This window comes from Homo sapiens, chromosome 2 (assembly GCF_000001405.40).
Source record: "Homo sapiens chromosome 2, GRCh38.p14 Primary Assembly".
NCBI lineage: Eukaryota > Metazoa > Chordata > Mammalia > Primates > Hominidae > Homo > Homo sapiens.
Window position 1 is genome coordinate 206,278,938 of NC_000002.12, and position 25,487 is coordinate 206,304,424.

Below are 25,487 nucleotides of genomic sequence, written 5' to 3' on the forward strand. Positions count from 1 at the left end.
ATGGAACTCTGTGCTGAGTGGGTGCTTAATAGTTATTCTTTGATTATACCGTGGTGTCACTGGCTCTCTTGAGCCTATGTGTTGGAATTTTTTCTTAACCAGTGATCCTGGATAAGGAGCAGCACTTTGCCTACAACAATGCGGAGGAATAAAAAACATGCTTCTGCTTAATAGTGTATTGATATAGATAGGTGTTAAAAGAATTGACAGTATTTTTCATTAAAGCTAACGTGGTACCTGAGCCTCGGGAAGTTTCTCATGAAGCTCATTTTGGGTTTGACAGCATTTTTGCTCTCAACTTTACCAGAGGCACAATTGAGCCTTATAGTCTTTTACAGCTACTGTTCCAGGAACCTAGAGACCTGCAGTGTTTGATGGTGGGTTAGATGGGCCATCACAGTCACTGCGCCAGAACTTTAGGAGGTCATGTGTGAGATTCAGTGAGTCATAGTATGTAAAGTGCTTTGTACTCCAAAGTTAATATTTTTTCTTATATTATTGGAAACATGTCACCGTTCACAATATATCTGGATGTATTTATTTGGTCAATGGTAGACACTTATGGGACCTCTTCTAAAAAATGATTTTATTTTAATTTACAGATACTTGCCAGAACTAATACAGCTGATGAAATACCTGACCTTTTCTGCTCCAGGTAAATAATTTTTTACTTTATAAAAATATCAGGTTCTAGGAGAATTCAGAGTTTGTATAAAAATACCTATTTAGGCATGCAAAGTAATATAAATCCAGACCCTAAAGAAATGATCCCTTTAATAAATAAGTTTTATTAGTTTATAAAAAATAATGACTTATGTTATTGAGTCAACTTACAGCAGAATCACCTTGAGCATTTTATTTTATTCTATTTTATTTTATTTTTTCGAGACAAAGCCTCGCTCTGTCACCCAGGCTGGAGTGCAGTGGTGTGACCTCGGCATGCTGCAGCCTCCACCTCCTGGGTTCAAACGATTCTATTGCCTCAGCCTCCCGAGTAGCTGGGACTATAGGCATCTGCCACCACACCCAGCTAGTTTTTGTATTTTTAGTAGTGACAGGTTTTTGCCATGTTGGCCAGGCTGTTCTCAAACTCCTAACCGCAGGCGATCCACCTGCCTCGGCCTCCCAAAGTGCTGGGATTACAGGCATGAGCCACCATGCCCAGCTGCCTTGAGCATTTTAAATATGCTTTATAACGTATGTCCTGGGTTCCCTTGACCACTGGGATTTTGATTTGCTAAGTTTCTGATGGGGTCCTGGCATGTTAATTTTTAAAAATGCCAACACATGCTTCTGGTTTATTGTAACTCACTGTCATTAAGGCACTAGAGATGACGGAAGTGGCAGGTGATAATGCCACAGGAGTTAAGGGCCATAGGGTTAAAGACCAAAAATATTTAAGTATTTACATTTTGTGTGTATGTGATATTAGATTAATGGTTTACTTTTGTCCTTTATTCAATGAATGTTTTAATTATATTTTCAATCCCCCAAAAGTTTATTTTAGGATTTTTCAAAGTTTACATTTAAGCTCTAGGTTCTCTCAGCTTGAAATTTGCCTTATGTGTAAGTACAATTTAAAATAAAAGTTTGTTCTGTTTTATTGCTGTAGGTTAATAAGTGAAGTAAATTAGTGGAAAAGAGACCAAATTTTAAGTAAGTAATGTCTTACATGTTTTTTGTGTCAGAGGCTGGTTTAATTGATTAATTTTCCTCATAAATGTGAGAAGTCAGAAAATCAATTTCTCATAATAAGAAGTAATAGGTAAGTAAATATTATGCTAGCATTTTGACTTAATGAAGCTTTTTTCCCCTCATCTTATGGTTTTAAGGCTGTGATTTCATTTTTCAGTTATTGATTTTAATGATTAAATTTTTTCCATTGCAGAAATTCTCATAACATGTTATAGAATGATTGTTATATATTTTCCAACAGATAAGAATGCTTAAATTAATTGAAATACAAAATTATTTGTAATTCTGTTTTCGGCTTAACAAAGCAGCAAATAAACTGCATTAAATTTTTTACTTAAAATAATCATAAATTATATGTACATTGTGTCAGTTAATACATTGGTAGGGCATGAAAATTACTGGGGGAATTTTAAAAATTCTGAATCCTAGGCTCACCCTAGCTCTACTAAAATTTTGGGTATTCAGCCTGGTTTGGGAACCATGCAGTATGTAATGTTGAAGGATTATACTTTTAGGTGAGTGGAAACTGGAAAACTATTTATTTGTAGAGAAATCTAAACAGTAATAGGAAAAAAATCCCTCCTATTTATCTGGCTTACATAATTGTCAGAAGAAAAGTGTTTTGTGTTTCAGAGGCTAAATTAGTTGTTCTGATTTTTAGCAACTGTGTTGGATAAATTATTTAAAAACCTGCCTCTCTATGAGCTGAGCAGAAAATGCCATGTGGTGTCTTTACACTCATGATAACAGAGAATGAGACGTTGTCAAATAATCTGGGGTTTGATATGGAAACATGATGGGGAAATTAATGAGCTCCATTAGAGTATAGTAAATATACCATAACAATATCTTAGAAGTAATTGGTCTTCGCAAATTGAATATTGTATTCTTTGTTACTAAATCAATATCTAATATCTCTAATAAGTTATTAGAAAAACTAAATATTCAGTCATCTAGTCTTCAAACATTGGCAACAAACTGCTCTTTCATAAGATACATAGTTCTTGTCTCTGCTCCAGGTTCACTTATTTATTCAGTGGCTCATGGCAGCCTTGTATATTTTCCTAATTATTAGAAGTGAATTTCTGTTTTCTGCTAATTATCATAGCCATTTTCCTCATAAGAGTAAGGAATTATGATTTTTACCATTTTTCTTTTTGTTTTTCAGCTTGAGTATTCAAAGACAGTAGCCATCTGACTTCAGTTATTTATTCAAGATGCAGAAAAGACAAGGATATTGCAGTTATTGCCGTGTGCAGTATAATAACCTGGAACAGGTGAGCGGTTTCTATTAATATGATAATATCTCAAAGGACCTAGTTGTGACTTTCTCTTACATTTTATTAAATTAATTTATTTATTCATTGAACAGATCATATTGGGAATCTATTAGTTGGCAGACACTGTTTAAGGTTCTAGGGATATGACCATGAACAAAAACCAAGCCTCTTTTTTCATGAAGCTTATATTCTAGTATAGTAAGACAGAAGATAAATAATATATAAATTTAGTACATAATGCGTGAGATTGTGATAAATGTTATGAGGAAAACAAAATAGGGAAGGGGTAGGGTGGCCAGGTAAGGCCTTTTTAAGGAAGTGACATTGAGTTGAGATTTGGAGTTTGGGTCTCAGGTTTGCATTTATCTGGGGAAAGATTTTCTAGGTAGAGGGAAGAGACAGAGACCCTGAGGGTACAGAGTGGTTGGCACACTAACGAAGAGCCAGGAGGCCGGTGGCTGCATGGATGTGGGGAGGTGGGTGAGAAGTAATAGGCAAAGAATTCAGACAAATCAATTCTGTATTTTAGATTCAGGGGGTATATGGGCTTGTTTGTTACATGGGTATATTGCATACCTGCTGGGGATTGGGCTTCTAGTATACCCATTACCCAAATCGGAGAAGTCGATTCTTTAAGACATTGTAGGCTAAGGTAAGGACTTTGAATTTTATTTCAAGTGAGATGGGAGAGCATCTCAAAGTTTGAGCATAGGAGTTAAATCGTCTACTTTGTGTTTTAAAAGGTTCATTCTGGCTGCTGAGGGAAAAATAGTTGGTATAGAGATTTAAAAATTTTGTTATTGTGATATAACTCATACACCATAAACTTGACCCTTTAAGGTGTATAATTCAGTGATGTTTTATTATGTTCACAAAGTGGTACAACCATTGTCTAATTCCAGAACATTTTAATCACCCTAAAAGGAAACCCTGTACGCACTGAGCAGTAACTCACTCCTCCCTTCTGTCACCAGCCCCTGGCAACCGCTAGTGTATTTCCTGTCTGTATAGATTTGCTTATTCTGGATATTGCGTGTAAATGGAATCAAACGTTGTGTGGCCTTTTGTGTCTGGCTTCTTTAATGTAGCGTAATATTTTCACGGTTCATCCAGGCTGTAACATGCATCACGACCTCGTTCCTTTTTATGGCTGACAATGTTCCATTGCATGGATATATCACATTTTGTTTATTCATTGAGCAATTTATGGATATTTGGGTTGTTTTTACTTTTTGACTGTTATGAATAGTGCTGCTATGGATATATGTGTACAAGTTTTTGTGTGGACGTATGCTTTCACTTTTCTTAGGTTTACATGTAGAGTGGAATTGTTGGGTCATGTGGTAATTGTGTTTAACTTTTTTGAGAGGGTGCCTCACCGTTTGTCAAAGTGGCTGTACCTTACCACCAGCAATGTATGAGGGTTCCAGTTTCTCCACGTTCTTGTCAGCACTTGTTGTTGTCTGTTTTGTTTTTTGTTGTTGTTGTTGTTGTTGTTATAGCCATCTTTGTGGATGTGAGATGGTATCTCATTTTGGCTTTGATTTGCATTTCCCTAATGACATATAGTGTCTTTTCATTGGGCATTTGTATATCTTGTTTAGAGGAATGCCTCTTCATATCCTTTTCCTATTTTTAATTGTGTTGTCTTTTTATTGTTGAGTTGTAGAAGTCTTTATATATTTTGGATAATTGACCTTTATCAGATGTATGATTTACAAATACTTTCTCCATTCTGTGGGTTGTCTTATTACTTACTCTTTTTTTTTGAGACAGGGTCTTGCATTATTGCCCAGGCTGGAGGGCAGTAGTGCGATCATGGCACACTGTAGCCTCTGCCTCCTGGGCTCAAGCAGTTCTCCTGCCTCAGCCTCCCAAGTACCTGGGACTACTGGTGTGCACCACCGTACCCAGCTAATATTTTATTTTTTGTAGAGATGGGGTCTCACTATATTTCCCAGGCTGGTCTCAAACTCCTGGGCCCAAGTGATTCTCCTGCTTTGGCCCCTGAAAATTTTGGGATTACAGGTGTGAGCCACCACAACTGGCCTTCTTTTTACTTTCATGATGCTATGTTTTGATGCACAAAAGTTTTAAATTTTGCTGTTTTGCTTATGTTTTTTGGTGTCAGAAGGGTTGCCTAATCTCAGGATGGAAGATTTATGCCTATGTTTTCTTCTAAGAGTTTTACAGTTACTCTTACATTTAGGTCTTTTATCTGTTTGAGTTCATTTTTGTATAGGGTGTGAGATAGGGCTATACTTTTTTTTTTGAGTCTGTAAAATTAAATCTGTTTCATAGAAATCATGTTAAAATTCATGCGCATCAGAGCTCTCCCTGTGCTACCCATAGTGGATGTATGTATGTATGTATGTATTTATATTGATTTGTTTACTTTTATTATTTTTATAATTATACATATGTATGGGGTACAGTGTGATATTTTGATACATGTGTATAATGTGTAATAATCAAATTGGTAATTAGCATACTCATCACCTCAAACTTTTATCATTTCTTTGTGTTGGAAACATTTAAAATCCTCTCTTCAACTGTTTGGAAATTTACAATCAATTATTATTAACTATAGTCATCCTACAGTGTTGTATAGGACTTTAGAACAACTAGAACATATTTCTCCTATCTAGCTTTAATTTTGTATTCATTAATTATCCTCTCCCAATTTCTCTTCCCTGACTTCTTCCCAGCTTCTAGTAATCAGCATTCTATTCTCTAGTTTTACGAGCACAACTTTGATGACAAGATTTTCTTCTTTTATGGCTGAATCGTATTCTACTGTGTATATATACCACATTTCCTTTTTGTGTGTGTGTGAGATGGAGTCTTGCTCTGTCACCTAGGCTGGAGTGCAGTGGCATGATCTTGGCTCACTGCAACCTTCGCCTCTTGGGTTCAAGCAATTCTCCTGCCTCAGCTTCCCGAGTAGCTGGGATTACAAGAGTGCACCAACACACCTGGCTGATTTTTGTATTTTTAGTAGAGATGGGGTTTCACCATGTTGGCCAGGCTGGTCTCGAACTCCTGACCTCAGGTGATCCACCTGCCTCAGCCTCCCAAAGTGTTGGGATTACAGGCGTGAGCCACTGCGCCTGGCCCCTTTTTTCTTTTATCTGTTGATGGACACTTAGATTGATTCTATATCTTAGCTATTGTGAACAGTGCTGTAGTAATAAACATGGGGATGCAGATATCTCCTTGATATACTGATTTCCTTTCCTTTGGATAAATACCTAATCAGTAGGATTGCTGGACCATATGGTAGTTATATTTTTAGGTTTTTGAGAACATTTATACTCTTTTCCATAATGACTATAATAATTTGTATTCCCACCAACAGTGTGTAAGAATTCCCTTCTCTGCATCCTTGCCAGTGTGTTATTTTTTGTCTTTTCGATAATAGCTATTCTAATTGAAGTGAGATGATATCTCATTGTGGTTTTGATTTACACTTCCTTGATGATTAGTGATGTTGAACATTTTTTAATATACTTGTTGGCCATTTATATGACTTTTTGAGAGATGTCTTTTCAGCTTATTTGCCCATTTTTAAGTTGGATTATTTCCTTTTGTTGTCATTGAGTTGTTTGAGTATTCCATATTCCAGGTATTAATCATCTTTTGGATGAATGGTTTGCAAATATTTTCTCCCATTCTTCAGTCTGTTGAAGTCTCTCTTCACTCTGTTGATTGTCCTTTGCTGTGCAAAAGCTTCAGTTTGATATTATCCAGTTTGTCTATTTTTGCTTTGTTCCCTGTCCTTTCGAGGTCTTTTCCGTAAAATCTTTGCCCAGACCACTGTCCCAAAGCATTTCCCCTGTGTTTTCGTCTAGTAGTGTCATAGTTTTGGGGCTTACATATATGTCTTTAATACATTTTGAGTTGATTTTTGTGTATGGTGAGAGATAGGGGTCTAGTTTCACTTTTCTGCATATAGATATCCAGTTTTCTCAGCTTCATTTATTAAAGAAGCTGTTCTTTCCCCCAACTTATGGTATTGGTGCCTTTGTCAAAAATCAGTTGGCTGCAAATACATAGATTTATTTCTGGGTTTTCTGTTTTGTTTCATATCTGTACATTTTCAGAAGTTCCTCTTGTTACTGATTTCTAGTTTATGCTATTGTGGTCAGAAAAGATACTTGATATAATTTCAATTCTTTTGTATTTGGAGACCTCTTTGTGGCCTAATATGTGGCCTATCCTGGAAAATGTTGCATGTGCTGATGAAGCAAATGTGTATTCTGTAGCTGTTGGTTGAAATCTTCTGTAAATATCTGGTAGGCCTATTTGGTCTAAAATGCAGTTTAAATCAAGTGTTTCTTTGCTGATTTTCTATCTAGATGATCTGTCCAATTCTGAGAGTGTGATAATCAAGTCCTCAGCCAGTCTAATAGTATTTGCTTTATTTATCTAGGTGCTCTGGTATTGAGTACATATATATTTATAGTTGTTTTATCTTCTTGCTGAGTTGATCCCTTTATCATTATATGATGGCCCTCTTTGTCTCTTTTTACAGTTTTTGACTTAAAGTCTGTTTTATCTATCATAAATGTAGCTACTCCTCCTCACTTTTGGTTTCCAGTGCATGGAATATCTTTTTCCATCCCTTTGCTTTCAGTCTATATGTGTCTTAAAAAAAAAAAAATAAAAGAGATGGAGTCTTACCATGTTGTCCTTGCTGGCCTTGAATTCTGTGCTCAAGATATCCTTCTGCCTCAGCCTCGTTAGTAGCAGGGACTACAGGTGCATGCCATTGTTCCCAGCCATCTATATGTGTCTTTACAGGTGAAGTTAGTTTCTTGTAGGCGGTGTATTGTTAGGTCATGATTTTTAAAATCGATTCAGCCCAACTGTATCTTTTAAGTGGGGAATTTAATCCATTTAAATTCAAAATGATTATTGATATGCGAGGAATTGCTTCTGTTATTTTGTTAATTGCTTTCCGGTTGTTTTATGTGTGCTTTATTTTTTCTTTCTGTCTTATCGTTGCAGTTTGGTGGTTTTCTGTAGTAAGTAGGTAGTAGATCCCTCTTGGTGTTAGGTCTGACATGGCCTATAAGCAGCTTTAGTAGCACTGTGTTCCAGTTGCAGGTGCTTGGAGTGGCTGTGGGACCAGGGTCCTAGGCTCATAGGCTTATGAACCTATTGTTGCACCTGGATCTTGGGGTACAGATTTGCTCTTTGGTGGGGTTGGATGTCTTTTCTCTTTCTCCTTTGCATGTCTGTTCTACCAGTGAGTTTTTATACTTTTGGATGTTTTTGTGAAAGTAACTATTGTCTTTTTTGCTTGCCAGATGTAGGACTCCTTTGAGCATTTCTTGTGAGCCTGGCCTAGCGGTGATGAATTCCTTCAGTTTTTGTTTCTCTGGGAAAGACTTGATTTTTCTCTCATGTCTGAAGGATAGCTTTGCTGGGTATAGTATTGTTTGGCTGTTGGAGTAGTTTTAGCACTTTCAATATATCATCCCATTCTTTGCTGGCCTGTAAAGTTTCTGCAGAGAAAGCTGCTGTTAGTCTAACGATGATTCCCTTATATGTGACTTGATGCTTTTGCTGTTTTTCAGATTCCATCTTTGGTCTTTGACCTTTGACAGTTTATAATGTGCCTCAAGGAGGACCTTTTTGGGTTGAATGTATTTGGGATTCTTTGAGGTTCTCATATCTGGATATCCATAGACTTGGGAAGTTTTTGGCTATTATTTCATTAAATAGGTTTTCTATGCCTTTCTTCTTGTCTTCCCCATCTGGATTCCTATAACACAAATATTTGTTCACTCAGTGGTGTCCCATAAGTCTTGTAGGTTTTTTTCACCTCTTTTTCATTATTTCTTTTTTTCCCTGTGACTGGGTAATTTCAAATGACTGATCTAAAAATTCAGAGATTTCTTTCTTCAATTTTATCAAATCTGCTATTGAATCTCTGTATTGTATTTTTTATTTTGTTCATGGAATTCTTTAGCTGTAGGATTTCTGTTTGGTTCTTTTTTATGATTTTTATCTGTGTTGAATTTTTGTTCATATTGTGAATGGTTTTTCTGATTTTGTTGAATTGTCTATATATATTTTCTTGTCTCTCATTGAGTTTCCTTAAGATCTTTATTTTGAATTCTTTTTCAGAAATTAGTTTATTTTCATTGGGTTATTTTTATGAGGAAGTTATGTTCCTTTGGTGATGTTATATTTCTTTGCTTTTTTATGTTTCTTATGTCCCTGCATTGATGTCTCTGCATCTGGTGGAACAGTTACTTCTTCCATACTTTCTGGAGTGGCTTTCATATTGAATAACTTTTATAACTTTTACCTGCAGTTGGGCTTTAATGTTCTAGTTGGGAGAGTGTGGTTACTCTGTTGCTAGATAGATGCAGTGGTATATAGTCTTCATTCAGTTTCTTCAGCTGTGTTCACCATCAGCAATAACTGTGGGCACTTCAGTGGCCTACACTGTAGAAGTTTGTGGCAGTGGCAGCAGCATAGGCTGTGAATGTCCTTGATGTCAAGGGCTTCTGGGATCCACCTGTTCTTGTTTTCATTACGATGGGGAGACTTAACTGAGTAGATCCCTCTTGGTGTTAGGTGTGACGTGGCCTATAAGCAAGCAGCTTTAGTAGCACTGTGTTCCGGTTGCAGGTGCTTGGAGTGGTTGTGGGACCAGGGTCCTAGGCTCATAGGCTTATGAACCTATTGTTGCACTTGGATCTTGGGGTACAGATTTGCTCTTTGGTGGGGTTGGATGTAGGTTGCCCACAGAGCCAGGACCTGTAACTTTTAGGCACCCCCTAGTAGCTGGGGCCCAGGGCATCAGGTCGTAGCTGAGATTCTACCCCTGAAGGGCAGGGCACAGCACTGACCTGACTCCAGGGAAAAATAGTTGCTCTGGAGGTTTGATCCTGGGGAGCAGGGTGTGGCTGCAGTTCAGAGCTCAGTGGCAACTTAGGTCTCAGGGGATGAGGCATTGTGTAGTAGTGACTCTAGACACTGGGATGGTGGGACTCAGCAGCAGCAGATACACAGCTGTTGTTTAGACCCAGGGTAGGGCAGGGAACAGTACAACAATGACTCCATTCCCCAGGTAAATGAATGTCTCAGCAGCTCAGACTCTAGGGGTCTAGTCTGGTCTAGGAAAGCAGAGTACTAGAGTTGTTTGGCTAGTAGGATGAGGTGTCTAAGCGTAGCCACTGCTCTGTTTCCCTGGGACATGAGGTACTCAGCCCTGGGGTGCACAGCTGCTCAGCTTGGCCAGGACACTATTTCCCCAGGGGGCAATGTGCTGCTTCAGTTCAGGTTTGGGCGGGGTTGGGGGACAGTGGCGTGAGTGTTCCTGGCGGCCATTTCTCTGGGATGCAAGGTGCCACTTCAGCTTAGGTATTGGGGTGTGTGACTACTCTGAATATGTAAGGCAGTTTCCTGCAATTCAGGATGCTACTTCAACCTAGGCACTGGGGACGCATGACTTCTTTGAGCCGCTGAGGTACTATTTTTCTGGGAGGCAGGGTACCACTTCAGCTCCAGCCTGATGGGGTGAGAGGAGAGGTGGGTGAAGTGGCTTCACTTCTTCTTGGTTCTATGAGGAAGGGTTTAACCACTGTTTGTAGCTTGGCCTGGGGATGTGAGGCCACCGGGCTGGGATGATTCAGCAGTGGCTTAGCCTCAGGGACAAAAGGGAGCCATGGCTACTTGCCAATGGAGCAAAACACGTTTCAGCCATAGTTCCACTTGCAAGATGGTGTAGCCACATGGGTCACAGGGGTCAGGGCACAGTATTGGCTTCTTCTCTCAGGGGAACACAGTGGTGTTGACCCCAGACGGCTCCCTCAGCTGGTCTTTGTCCCTGTGGGGACTGCAGGGGTGAGGTCTGTAGGTGTCCAAGGTGTTAATGGGGGTTGGTTGTTGGGATCCTCTTGCTTGCCTCCTTGCTATAGAGAGAAGTTCTTCCTGGTTCCCAGCTGATCCCAGTTGGGAATGGGGTGGTGGAGGCCTGGCATTCCCTTCTGCTCTCTGTGTTGCCATTCTGAGTTCTATGCTCACCCTGGTTTCTGTTTCTCCTCTGATGCACTCCATTGCCCTTCTTCAGTTGTTTTTGTTAAAATATAGTTGTTTGTTCATTGTGCTGGCCATCTTTTTCCAAGTTTATTCTTTTGCATGTGATATACAGTAGTATCAGCACCATTTGTTGAAGACTATCCTTTCCACATTCAATTGCCTTGACATCCTTGTTGAAAATCAGTTGACCATAAATATAAGGTTTACTTCTAGACTTTCAGTTCCATTTTATTTATCTATATATCTTCTCTGATGCCAGCACCACATAGTCTTGATTACTGTAGCTTTGTAGCAAAATTTGGAATCAGGACATTTGAGTCCTCCAACTTTGTTCCTCTTTTTCAAGATTGTTTTGGCTATTCTTGGTTCCTTGTATTTCCATGTGAATTTAAAGATCACTTTGTTAGTTTCTGCAGAAAAGCAGCTGGAATTCTGATAGGGATTGTGTTGAATCTGTAGATACATTCATGGGGAATGTATATCTTAATATTAAGTCTTCCAATCCATGAATAGAGGTATGTATTTCCATTTACGCAGAGCTTTAAAATCTTTCAGTGGTGTTTTGTAATTTTCAATGTGCAAGTTTCACACTTCTTATGCTAAATTTATTCGTAAGCATTTTATTCTTTTTGATGCTATTGTAAATGGAATTGTTTTCTTAAGTTCATTTTGGATTGTTTATTGCAAGTGTATGGAGAGCTTCAATAGATTTTTAAATATTGATCTTGTATCATACAACCTTGCTGACCTTGTTTATTAATGCTAATAATTTTTTTTGTAGATTCCTTAGGATTTTCTATGTACTACATTATGTTCTCTCCAAATAGTTTTACTACTTTTTTCCCCAATCTGGATGCCATTATTTCTTTTTCTTGCCTAATTGCTCTTGCTAGAATTTCTAGTATGATGAGTGTTAAAGTAGTGAGAATGGATATCCTTGGTTTTTTTTGGATCTTGGGAGAAAACTTTCAGTCTTTCATCATTAAGTTTGATGTTAGTTGTGGGTTTTAGCCTAATTTGCTAAGTGTTTAATCATGAAAGGGTATAGGCTTTTGTCAAATGCTTTTCTGCAACTATTAGATGTATGTGTTTTTTTCCTTTAGTCTATTAATGTAATATATTACAGTATTCATCAGCTCAGGCTGCCATAATAAAATACGATAGACTAGGTAGCTTAAATCAGCGGTCCTCAACCTTTTTGGCACCAGGGACTGGTTTCGTGGAAGACAATTTTTCCACAGATGGGGTGGAGGGGTGGTTTTGGGATTTAACTGTTCCACCTCAGATCATCAGGCATTAGATTCTCAAAAGGAGCACGCAACCTAGATCCCTTGCATGCACAGTTCACAATAGAGTTTACGCTCCTATGAGGATCTAATGCCTCCACTGATCTGACAGGAGGTGAAGCTCAGGTGGAAACGCTTGCTTGCCTGCCGCTCACCTCCTGCTCTGTGGCCCAGTTCCTAGCAGGCCACAGACCAATACCTAACAGCCCTTCTCACTGTGTCCTCCTGTAGCAGAGGGAGACGGCGATTTCTCTTCCTATTTTATAAGGCCGCCAATCCTATTGAAGATGTCGCTACTGTTAGGACTTCATTTAACCTAAATTACCTCCTAAAAGCCCTGTCTCCAAATATTAGGGGTTAGAACCTTAACATGTGAATTTTGGGGGGATGTAGTTCAACCTATAGCAGTTAGATTGATTGGTTTTCAGATGTTAAACTTATTTTGCATCTGTGGGATAAATCCCACTTGGTCATGGTGTATAATCCTTTTTATATGTTGCTGGATTTGGTTTGCTATTAATAATATTTTGTTGACAATGTTTGCAGCCTTGTATTTCAAGGCTTTGGAGAACTGTAAAAGCAGTGAAGTAATATGGGGCCCATATCTAGTGAAGTATTTAACAGAAACAATGGAAGCCAAAAGAAAGAAAACAACTGCCACCTAGAATTCTCTACTCAATACGTATATCTTTTAATAAGGAAGGTGAAATAAAACTATTTTCAGGAAATAAAAATTAAGGGAATTTGTCACCAGCAGACTCTCACTAAAGGAAAAACTAAAAAGGAGTTCTTCAGGCAGAAGGAAAATGATTCCCGATGGAAGCTCAGAGATACAGGAAGTAATGAAGAACAGTGGAAAGGTAAATATGTAGGCAATCAATCTAAGTGAATACTGTCTTGTGGGATGAACAACAATGGCATATAAATTGGGAGGGGAGTAAATGATGTTAATTTCTAAGGACTTTGCATTGTTTATAAAGAGAATAAAAGTAACAAGTAATTTTAGGCGTTGACAGTTCAGGGTTGCTCATTGTAATCTCTTACCAAAATAGACTATGAAAAGTCTGTAACTAACTACAGAGTTAACAGAAAAGGAAAAATTGAAATGATGAAACGTAGTCCACAAGAAGACAAGAAAGGAGAGGAAAAGGGATAGTTGTATAGGCAAGAGTAACAGATTGAAAAAGTTAAATACAACTCTATCAGTAATACATTAAGTGAAAATAGGTTTGATGCTTGAATTACAACTGTATTCAATATTTTGTCAGAGGTCCTAGTCAAAGAAATAAGGAAAGAAAAATAAAAATGATAAAGATTGGATAAGAAGAAATAAAACTATTATTTATACACAACATGATGGTGGACATAAAAACTAAAAAGATATCTAGATAAACCATTAGAATCAATAAGTGATTTTAAAAGGTTGTTACACTAATGTAAAAAGAAAGTGTATTTTTATATACAGATACCATGCAGAAAATGAGATAAAAAATCATTTACAATAGCATCAAAGAACATCAAAATCTAGGGAATAAACATAAGAAAATGTAAGATCTTTAAACTAGAAACTATAAACCTTGAAAGAAATTTTCATGTTCATGGATTGAAGAATCAATATTGTAAACATGTCAGTTCTGCCTAGATTGTTATATTTATCCAATGTAATTTCAATCAAAATCTCAGAGAAGTATTTTTTTTTAATGAAAAGCCAATTCCAAAAATAAATGTGGGAAAGTAAAAGGCTCAGAAGAACTAGGATAATCTTAAGAACAAAGTGAATAGATGTCCTCTATCAGATACTAAAACTTATGAAACTTTAGTCTTTAGTCTTTAAAATAGTGCAGTTTTGCTGCAGAGTTAGAAAGACCATGGAAAAAAACCAGGAATTCCAGAAACAGACACATTTATGGATGTCTGATTTGTGACAAAGGTGCTGCACAGCAGTGAGGACAGGACTTTCTTCAATAAATGATACTGGGTCAATTGAATATTCATATGGAGAGGAAAATGAAACTTTATTGCCGAATCACCCTGCATATAAAAATCAGTTAGAAGTAGACTATGATTTGGCTACATGTTGTAGCCAAAATAGTAAAGCTTCTAGAAACAGGAGAAAATCTCTATGACTTTGATGGTAAAGAGAGATTTCTGGCCACAAAAAGCACTGACAAAGAAAAAAAGATAAAACCGGACTGCAATAAAGTTAAACAATGGAAGATGATTAAGAAAGTGAAAAGAAGCTGCAGAGAGGAAGATGGTACTTGAAACACATATAATTGAGCAAAGAACTGGTGTCCTGAATAGGGAATTTCTACAAGTCCATAAGGAAGAGACAGAACATCCATTTGAAAAACAGAGAGACTTGAACAGACCCAATGTAAAAGAGGATATCCAGATGGCTAGTAAATATGAAAAGCTATTGCAAAAATTACAGATTAAGGCCACAGTGATATAACAATAAACATCCTTACAATAGCTAAAATTAAAGAGACTGACAATAGCAAGTGTTGATAAGGAGATAGGAATACTGCTGGTAGGGAATATAAATTTGTACAGCCACTTTGGAAGACTGGTCGGTAGGGAGTACTAAAGCTGAACATATGCAAATTTTATGACCCCGAAGTTTCACTCCTAATAATGCACTCAACAAAAATGCATGCACATTGGCACCAAAAGACACATACAAGAAGGTTCTTCATAGTATTATTAGTAATAGCCAAAAGCTAGAAACAACACAAATGTCCATCAAGAGTAGAATGAATAAATAAGATATGGCATATTCATACAATGAATATGCAGAAAAGAAAATGAACAGATTCAGCCAATATGTATGAATATCACATATATAATATTGAGTAAAATAAGCTGAATGCAATAGCATACATATTATATGACTCCATTTATATACATTTCAGAAAATTTCAAAACTATAGTATTAAAAGTTAGGTAATAGTTACTTTTGGGGAAAAGGGAAGGGATTGGGATGGGGCATTACAGGGATTTCTGGATGCTTGTCAACTTTTTATGGATAGATGGTAAGGATGTGTCTACTTTGTGATAGTTGATTGAGCTGTATGCATATGATTTGTGTACTTTATGTTATACATCAATTCAAAAAATCTAAAGGAACGGATACCTTATAGGATGTAAATGAAGTTTTCTATTCACATTGCTTTTTTCTTTTTGCCTTGGCAGAGAGAGGACAAGGTTGGATTTTAGTATTTATTTTTGTAATTTCAGCTTTTATTTTAGATTCGGGGGGACACATGTCCAGGCTTGTTACGTGGGTATGTTGTGTGATGCTGAGGTTTGGGGTACAAATGATCCCATCACCCAGCTAGTGAGCATAGTACCTGATAGGTAGTTTTTCGAGCCCTTTCCCCCTGCCCTGTCTCTCCTGACCCAGTGTCTCCCAGTGCCTTTTATTCCCATCTTTATGTCCACATGTACCTAATGTTTAGCTCCCACTTAAAAGTGAGAATATGTGGTATTTGGTTTTCTGTTCCTGTGTAAATTTGCTTAGGATGATGGCCTCCAGCTGTATCCATGTTGCTGCAAATGACATGATCTCATTTTTTATGGCTGTGTAGTATTCCATGATGTATATGTACCACATATTCTTTATTCAGTAACGTTGAATTTTAACTGAATATTTATTTGTTTCCTTGTGCATTTGTCCCCTTTAATCACCAGGCAGTCTAACTCTGGTGATGGGTCCTGGACAGTGGAGAGTTTCGTAGCAGGATTTTGAAAGCATCATAATTTAGATTGTTCCTGGGGCTAGGAGCACTAGCATGGACCTCTGAAGTCAACATGGAAGAAAATAATTCCAAGAGTTGTAACACAGTGGTCAGGAGCTAGCAACCTGATTTAAGTTCTTTAACACCTTTACCGTGATATTTTAAAATGTCTTTTCTAAGTATTGTTAAATTAAAATGCACTATTAAATTATAAATAACATGTTAGAAATATGCCATTTGCTATTTGCTAGCATAATACAATGAAAGAGGATAAGCTTCAGAGTTAGATTCAAATCCTGGCCTTGCTGTTTGCTCATTATAAAACTTTGGGCAGTTTACTCTAATTCTTTTTTTTTCTTTTCTTTTCTTTTTTTTTTTTTTTTTTGAGACAGAGCCTCACTCTGTCACCCAGGTTGGAGTGCAGTGATGCAGTCTCGGCTTACTGCAACCTCCGCCTCCAGGGTTCAAGCAATTCTCCTGCCTCAGCCTCCCAAGTAGCTAGGACTACAGGCGCGCAGCACCACCATGCCTGGGTAATTTTTATTTTTTTATTTTTTAGTAGAGACAGGGTTTCGTCTTGTTGGCCAGGCTGGTCTTAAACTCCTGACCTCAGGTGATCTGCCCACTGTAGACTCCCAAAGTGCTGGGATTACAGGCCTGAGCCACTGCGCCCAGCCCAGTTTACTCTAATTTTTTGTGCCTTAGTCTTTTCGTGCTAAATGGGGACGATATTCTTACTCAGTGAAAAGTCAATGAAGATTACTGTGTAAATGGAATAGCACTGTGTTTGGTACATCATAGGTGCCCCATAGGTAGACTTTTTCCCATTCTGCTTGCTACTCCACTAAATAATATTAGTAAAGAAAGAATCTTTCTAACTGTAGAGAGAGTTACAAGACTGAAAAATTTAGTGTATTTATTTTAATTTTGTGTTTAAGTTGGGATTTTTAATTTCTGAAAGAAAATAAAGGTACCTTTTTTGTCAATCTTTGACCTCTTTTAATACAATAATCCAACCCTGTTCTCTCTCTTAACAGATTTTCATTTTAAAAAACATTTACTCATTGAAAAATATAAGAATTTATAAGAAAAATTGAAAAATTACCCATAACTGCACCACACTGATATCTGTACTAGTAAGGTTTGGTGTACACTAGTCCCCCCTTATCTGTGGTTGGTTTCAGTTACAGCCAGATGTGGCTCGAAAATATTAAATGGAAAATTCCAGAAATAAATGGGCAAATAAATTGCATGTTATTCTGAGTAGCTTGATGAAATCCTTCGCTGCCACTCATTGTCCCACTCAGGACATGAATCATCCATTTGTCCAGCGTATTCCTGCTGTCTGCCCATTAGTCACTCAGTAGCTGTCTTGGTTATTAGATCAACTGTTGGATATCACAGTGCTTGTGTTCAAGTAACCCTTATTTTACTTTTATTACAGTATATTGTTATAATTGTTTTATTTCATTATCAGTTATTGTCATTAATCCCTTACTGTGTGTAGTTTATAAATTAATCTTTATCATAGGTATGTAAGGAAAAACATATATAGGTTTGGTACTATCCACCGTTTCAGGCATCCACTGGGGGTCTTGGAACAAATTCCCTGCGGATAATAGGGGACTACTGTAATTTCTTCCATTTACTTGTCTGTATGTTTTTAAACTGTAGTTTGACATGAAACCATACGTGTGGTTTTTGCATTCCTCATTTTTTTCTAAATCCAGCGCCATAGACTGCTCGGCCACACCACACTCATTTTTTCTTAATATGTAACGTTTCCCCATGTTATTAAAAATTTTCTAAATCCAGCACCTTAGACCACTCGGCCACACTACCACACTCATTTTTTCTTAATATGTAACGTTTCCCATGTTACTTAAAATTCTTTGTATTATTTTAGATAGCTGCATAGTATTACATCTTAGAGCCTATTATAATTGAAGTCTTTTACTGTTAGAAACTTAGGAGGTTTCCAGTTTTTTGTTATGCTATGATAATGGCATCTTTTTTGCATGAATCATTTACCTTTAAGACTATTTCCTTAGGCTGTACTTAGGGAAATCTCATTATTTTACCTAAGGGAAAGTAGTTTTATGGTTTTTAGATGCAAATTTCAGAATTGCTTTATAGAAAAGCTTTCAATTCATAATTTTACCAAGAGTATAGAAATGAATCCATTTTGTCGAACTCTCACTACTGAATACTGTCCATTTAAAAATATTCCATTTCTTTTTTCTTTATAGCATTTGTTCAGTGCTCAGCACAGGAGTTTGACCAGACAGAGTAGACGTCAAATATGTACCAGTAGTTTGATGGAACGTTTCTTACAGGATGTACTGCAGCACCACCCATATCATTGTCAAGAGAGCAGGTAAAGTAGTTGATTGGAATAATATTTATACGTAGTTATATGTTACAGTAGGTGTTTGTGTTCATGTCCCAATCAATACTTTAAGTGAATCTTTGAGTCAAGGAATATAAAGTAAAATTTTAGTAACTTTCATTTGCAATTTAAAATTTTTCTTAGCTGAAGTAAGAAATTTCACTACAGAAGATATGGACTACACTATGTTTTTTTCTAAATAAAAGTCTTAGGCTAATAATTATATATCATTAAGATGTTTTATAAGTATGTTATAGGATTAAGCAGGGGGAAAAGGAGGAAGAGATAGTTTTTTTTGTTTGTTTGTTTTTGAGATGGAGTTTCGCTCTTGTTGCCCAGGGTAGAGAGCAATGGCACGATCTCAGCTCACCGCAACCTCCACCACCCAGGTTCAAGCGATTCTCCTGCCTCAGCCTCCCGAGTAGCTGGGATTACAGGCATGTGTCACCACGCCTGGCTAATTTTTTGTATTTTTATTAGAGTTGAGGTTTCGCCATGTTGGTCAGGCTGGTCTCGAATTCCCGACCTCAGGTGATCCACCCGCCTTGGCCTCCCAAAGTGCTGAGATTACAGGCGTGAGCTACCACACCTGGCAAAATGGTTTTTAAAAGGTTAGCAACAGAAAAACTGGTGACAATAGCAGAGTAAGGACAATCAAGTCAAAACTGAGTCAAATCCACATTAATAGAACTCTTTGCTAATTCTGAGGAAAAGAGGTAGCCAAAAGAATTGGGTTTTTAAATCTGTCTGTATTTTGATAGCTTTTCTTGTATCCATTTGTTTTAGTTGTTTTTAATAAAAATAATTATTTTGATAACATTTAAGAGTTAATGCCCTATGTTAAAGAAAAACATTGGTAGAAAATCAGATTAAATATTATAATATGTTTGTAGCTCCCGCTGTACAAGATAAGGTAAAAATCGATCATTAGCACATCTGTGCAGTTAACTGAGATGTGCACCAGTTAGTAGAAAAAGGGATAAACTTCTTTGCCTTGCAAATCACTAACATAGACCTTAGAAATGGCAAAAATATTTTAATGGGGAAAAGTTAGAGGAAAACAAGATGGTTTCTTAGCTGGTGGGAAGATAGAATTAGCCTATCCTGGGGTCAGTATAAATTTCCAGGTTTTTTTTGTTTTTGTTTTTGTTTTTTGAGACGGAGTCTTGCTGTGTCACCCAGGCTGGACTGCAGTGACATGATCTCAACTCACTGCAACCCCCACCTCCCTGGTTCAAGCAATTCTCCCTGCCTTAGCCTCCCAAGTAGCTGGGATTACAGGCACCCGTCACCATGCCTGGCTAATTGTTTTGTATATTTAGTAGAGACTGGGTTTTGCCATGTTGGCCAGGCTGGTCTTGAACTCCTGACCCCAAGTGATCTGCCCACCTTGGCTTCCCAAAGTACTGGGATTACAGGAATGAGTCACCGTGCCCAGCTCCAATGTATAACTCTCATAAGCAGTGCTTCAGCAAACATGTTTTTACATGAATTTTTTTTTTCTTTTTTTTTTGAGACAGAGTCTCGGTCTGTTGGCCAGGCTGTAGTGCTATGGCACAATCTTGGCTCACTGCAACCTCCATCTCCGAGGCTCAAGCAATTCTCCTGCCTCAGCCTCTCGAGTGGCTGGGATTACAGGCATATGCCACCATGCCTGGCTAATTTTTGTATTTTTAGTAGAGACAGGGTTTCACCATGTTGGCCAGGCTGGTCTCGAACTCCCGACCTCAGGTAATCTGCCTGCCTCGCCCTCCCAAAGTGCTGGGATTACAGGCGTGAGCCAACACGCCCGGCCACATGCAACTATTTCTATGGTATAGCTTGCTAGAATTTGAAGTTCTGGGTCAGAGTTTACGGACCTTAAAAATTTTTTATTTTTATTTTTTATCTTTCCTTTCTGGAATAATTTCAGGCTAACAAAAATGTTGTAAAACTGGTACAAGAAATTCTTGGATCACCTTCCCCTGGCTTTCTCAAATATTAAATCCAAAATAACCACAGAGGGCCAGGTGCGGTGGCTCACGCCTGTAATCCCAGCACTTTGGGAGGCCAAGGTGGGCTGATGGCTTGAGGTCAGGAGTTCAAGACCAGCCTGGCCAACATGGTGAAACCCCTGTCTCTACTAAAAATACAAAAATTAGCTAGGCATGTTGGCACACACCCGTAGTCCCAGCTACTCGGGAGGCTGAGGCAGAAGAATTCCTTGAACTGCACTCCAGCCTGGGTGACAGAGCTAGACTCCTTCTTAAAAAAAGATTTTAAAAAACCACAGTACAATGATAAAAACTAGGAAACTACAAATGCAGTAGGAGGATCACTTGACTACAGGAGTTGGAGGCTGCAGTGTACTTTGACCTCCCCCCCGCCCGTGAATAGATGCATCCGGCCTGGGCAACATAGTGAGGCCTGTCTTGGCCTCTAAAAAAAAAAACAAGCCCCAAGCTGGACGCAGTGGCTCACGCCTGTAATCCTACCACTTTGGGAGGCCGAGGCGGGCGGATCACCTGAGGTCGGGAGTTTGAGACCAGCCTGACCAACATGGAGAAACCCTGCCTTTACTAAAAATACAAAAAATTAGCCGGGCATGGTGGTGCATGCCTGTAATCCCAGCTAGTAGGGAGGCTGAGGCAGGAGAATTGCTTGAACCCTGGAGGCGGAGGTTGCGGTGAGCTGAGATTGTGCCATTGCACTCCAGCCTGGGCAACAAGAGCGAAACTTGGTCTCAAAACAAACAAACAAACAAACCCAAAGCAAAAAATTCCCTGAACCCTGCTCAGAGGGAGCCAGTTTTAAAAACACAAAAACCAAAAACCAAGAAATTACATTGATACCATACTAACAGCTAATCTGTAGACCTTGTTTAAATTTTGTTGGTTGTCTTAACTCATGTCCATTTCTTGGACCAGGAACCAGTCCACAATCACACGTTGCATTTCGTTGTCAGCATCTCCTTAGTTTTCCTTTATCTTAAATAGTTCCTCAGTTTGTCTTTGTTTTTAAGACCATGATACTTTATTTATAGAGTACTGGCCAGTTAATTTATAGGATAGCCTTCAATTTGTGTCTGCCTGATATTTTCTTATGATTAAACTTCGGTTATGCATTTTGGGCGTGAATATCTTAGAATCGATGTGCCCTTCTCAGTGTGTAGCATCAGGAGACACATAATGTTGCCGTGTCATTTTGGGTGATGTTAGCTTGAGCCACTTGATTAAGGTACTACTGTCTGCCAAGTTACTCCACTGTGAAGTTACTGTTTTTCCTAATTAATAAGGATCGTATGGGGAAGAACTTTGAGACTATGTAAATACCTTGTTTCTTATCTTACTTTTGCCCACTGATTTTATGCAACCATTAATGATTCTTTGATCAAAATTCTACCATAAAGGAGATCTTCACTTGTTCTTTCACTTATTCAAGTATTTAATACTTATTTATATCATTATAGACTCATGGATATTTCCTTTATTCTATGGGTTTTAATTTGTTACTATTTATTATTTATTTTGTTGCTCAAATTGTGTATGAACATTTGAAGTCCTTGCTAGACACTTCCTAGAAGGCTATACCAATTTATACTCACACCAGCAGCATAAGAGAATGCTCGTTTCCTGTCACTGTTGCTAACACTGGGATTATCAGCTTCTTTTTTCCCTCCCAACCTAATAGGCCAAAAATGTGTAGATATACATACTGATAATCCCATATTATCTATTTTCAGGTAGAACTTTTTTGTATACTGATTGGCCATATTTTATTCTATGATATGTTTGTTAATATACTTTGCCCATTTTTCTATGGAGTTCTTTGTATATTTTGGCTTTGTAAGAAATATTTGAGTATGAGTAATATCCTTTGTATTTTAAATGTGTTACAGATTTTTTTCAGAACCTAATTGTTTGTCTTTTAACTGTATATGTTATTCTTTATTATACAGAAATTAAAATTTTTGATTTAATCAGATGTAAGGAGAATTTTTCTTTATGGCTTCTTTTATGCCTTTTTCTTCATGCCTTTGTTTTTTCTTTTAAATATTTATAACCATCTTGGAGTTTGTTTTTATATGTGGTGTGAGGCAGGACTTCTTGTATCTCTAATTATCCTTGCTGATATAAAATGTCACCACCTGTGTCATAACCCGAGTTCTTGTATTTGTGTATATGTGTGTGTGTATATCTCATTTTGAATACCATTTTGTTTCCTTGATTTAAAAAAAATCCCATGCCAATAGTACATTATTTTATTATGTATGTATAAACTTTCTAACTTATAGGATTTATGATTTTAAAACATTTCCTTTCTGTTTCCCCCTTGTCTAGACATTGTAAATTTTTCTATTTTAGCTCTCCTGAAAATCAGTTCTTGCTTTATTTTTGTTTCATCTTCATTAATTTTTTCCTTTTCTTCATGTATTTCGTCTACCTTTTTATGGGGGCAATTTGGTTGTTATCTTTTTCGTCTTAAATTGGGTGCCCAGTTGTATTTATGAATTCTTTTCTTAATGGAAGTATTTAAAAATATGATGTTTTTATTTTGGCCATATCTCATAGTTTTTATTTCTTTTAGATAATTTAAAAAATGTTTTTTTTTTTTAGCTCAAGAGTTTTTCTTTTTAGCTCAAGAGTTTAGCTGTTTTTTGTTCGTTTGTAGGTCTCACTCTGTGGCCCAGGCTGGAGTGCAGGGTGTGATTATAGCTCACTGTAGTCTCAAAGTCCTGGGCTCAAGTGATCCTCCTGCTTCAGCCTCTTGAGTATCTGGGACTATAGACATGTACCACCATGCCTGGCTTATTTTTTAAATTTTTTGTAGAAACAGGATCTCATTATGTTGCCAAGGCTGGTCTCAAACTCTTGGCCTCAAGTGATCCTCTCACTTGAGTCTTCCAAAGTGGGGGGATTACAGGCATGAACCACCACACCTGGCCAAAAGAGTGGTTTTTAATCTTTAATGGTTAGATTTTTAGAGAGCTTTTTTTGTTGTTGTGTGGTTACAAATGATGAGTTAAATGTGGATTATGATTTAATTGTTAAGCATATTATACACACACAAATACAGATGCAGATCAAAGCATCCAGATGGCAGTTCATGACCTTCTTGGGATTTTACCAGCTGTATGATTTTATGATTATACCTTCTTTTCTTTTTTCCCTTTTCTTTCTTTTCTTAGCTACATATTGCACAATTGGTTTTATTTTGAGAATGTTGTGATAGTCCTTAAGACAAATGAAGATAGTTTAGGGTTCTGAAAAACTAGAGTGAAGTGATTGTTGCACTGCAGTGTCATTGTTGAGAAGTATGAAAAATTAGAATTGTTTTTTGCTGCATCACAATACTTTTGATGCAGGGTTAACTTTATTTTCTAAATTCAAAATTAATATTAAGGTAATAAATTTATATGGGATAGTAATACTTAGGCTAAAATGAAATTGCATATGGCTGACACATGTATGCATGTTCTCTTAGACAAATGACATCTCAAATTGGAAAAATTCAATAAATTTTTAGGTGTTTATTTTTAATTGTTATAGGCTATTTTTATAAACAAACAGTTTTAGATTAATGGAAACAATGAGGAAATAGTACAGAGTGTGCCTATAATACTCTCTCACACAATTTCTCTATTATTAACATTAATGTGATATATTTGTTATAAGTAATGAACTGATATTAGTACAGTCCATGGTTTATTCAGACTTCTTAGTTTCTACTTAAACTAAGTTTTCTTAAACTAAGATTTCCTTAGTTTTACTACTTTTTCTGTTTCAGAATCACATCCAGGATACCACATTACATTAACTTGTAATGTCTCTTTAGGTCCCTCTTGGCTGTGACAGTTTAATCTTTTTTTTTTTTTTTTTAAACAGGTCTAGATGTGATGATACTTATCTCTTTGAATTGTTATTATTTTTTATGTGTCTGCCTTCTGCAGCTACTTGAATGGTCTTTAAAAGGCAGCTTAACTTTTTTTGAATTTGCCTTAGTACCTAGCATAGTGCCTGTAATGCAGTAGTAAGTCCTTAGTAGATGGTTGTTACATGAATGAATGTTTGCCCGACTTTAAGAATTCAGGCCATGGCAATATCATTAGGTCAGTTGGTTTTATGTACATGAAAGAACAGTCCCTGAAATGCTTTGGTCAAACATGTTGTCTTGATACTGGTAGAAGAGATTCATAGACTGATTTTAGATATGAAAGTTTTGGGTCTTTTTAAAAATAATGGAATTTAAATTTTGAATGGGAAATACATATACATAGACATAATTCACAGTGCACGTTCAAAAGTAAGTCTTCTTAAATTGCTGCCATCCTGTAGTCACTTCCCTAGAGGTAACACTTGACACCTCTAGACTTCTACAGTTGTATGTGCCATTCTCCAGATATTCTAAGTGCATTATTTTTTTCCCTTCTATTTTACATAAATGGTAGCTTTCTGTGTACCCTTGCTTTTCACTAACAATGTTTATAGTAATTGGTTTTTATTTGTATATATAGAGCCGCTTTATTATTTTTAAAAACCACATTGTATTCCATTAAATACCATTAATTATTTAACCAGTACCCAGTTACTGAGTATTCAGGTTGATTCTAGTCATTTGCTATTACCCCTCCCTCCGCTCAAAAGTAGCAGTAACTATTCTTGTACGTGTTCATTAAACACATGAGAAAACCAAAAGTGGAATTAGAGGTCAAAGGGTATGTACATTCTTAATTTTAATAGACATTGCCAAATTGCTGTTTGTAGAGGTTACAAATCTACATAGAGGTTAACCAGTAACTGTTAACTGATCTATATTCCTATGAACAATGTATTAAAGTGCCTTTGTCCTTACACCCGCACCAAAACAATGTGTTAAGATAATAATAGCTAACATTTGTGAATGCTTACTGTGTGCCAAGCTGTTTCTTTGTTTTAATGCTCTTTACATGTAACAATTAATTTACTCATCAAAACAATCTCATGAGGGAAAATAGTGTAAGATTCCCTTTTTTTGGAGGCAGAAACTGAAGCATACAAAGTTAAGTAACATATGTCAAACT

General features: G+C 37.1%; 1 protein-coding gene across 14 annotated transcripts in view; it reads left to right on the forward strand.

Annotated features, from left to right (window-relative positions):
- ZDBF2 (zinc finger DBF-type containing 2) overlaps positions 1-25,487 on the forward strand; it is a 39,765-nt gene that overhangs the window by 4,275 nt on the left and 10,003 nt on the right. For 4 of the 14 annotated variants that reach the window (NM_001369654.1, XM_017004575.3, XM_005246712.6 and 1 more), the window contains exons 2-5: positions 603-655; positions 1,613-1,656; positions 2,864-2,972; positions 18,309-18,436. In NM_001369654.1, the coding sequence (NP_001356583.1) occupies positions 2,913-2,972; positions 18,309-18,436 (188 nt within the window). In that variant the 5' untranslated portion in view covers positions 603-655; positions 1,613-1,656; positions 2,864-2,912. Of the gene's footprint in view, positions 1-602; positions 656-1,612; positions 1,766-2,863; positions 2,973-13,073; positions 13,180-18,308; positions 18,437-25,487 lie in introns of all 14 variants that reach the window. The other 10 variants (XM_011511532.4, XM_047445281.1, XM_011511533.3 and 7 more) reach the window with 5 other exon arrangements.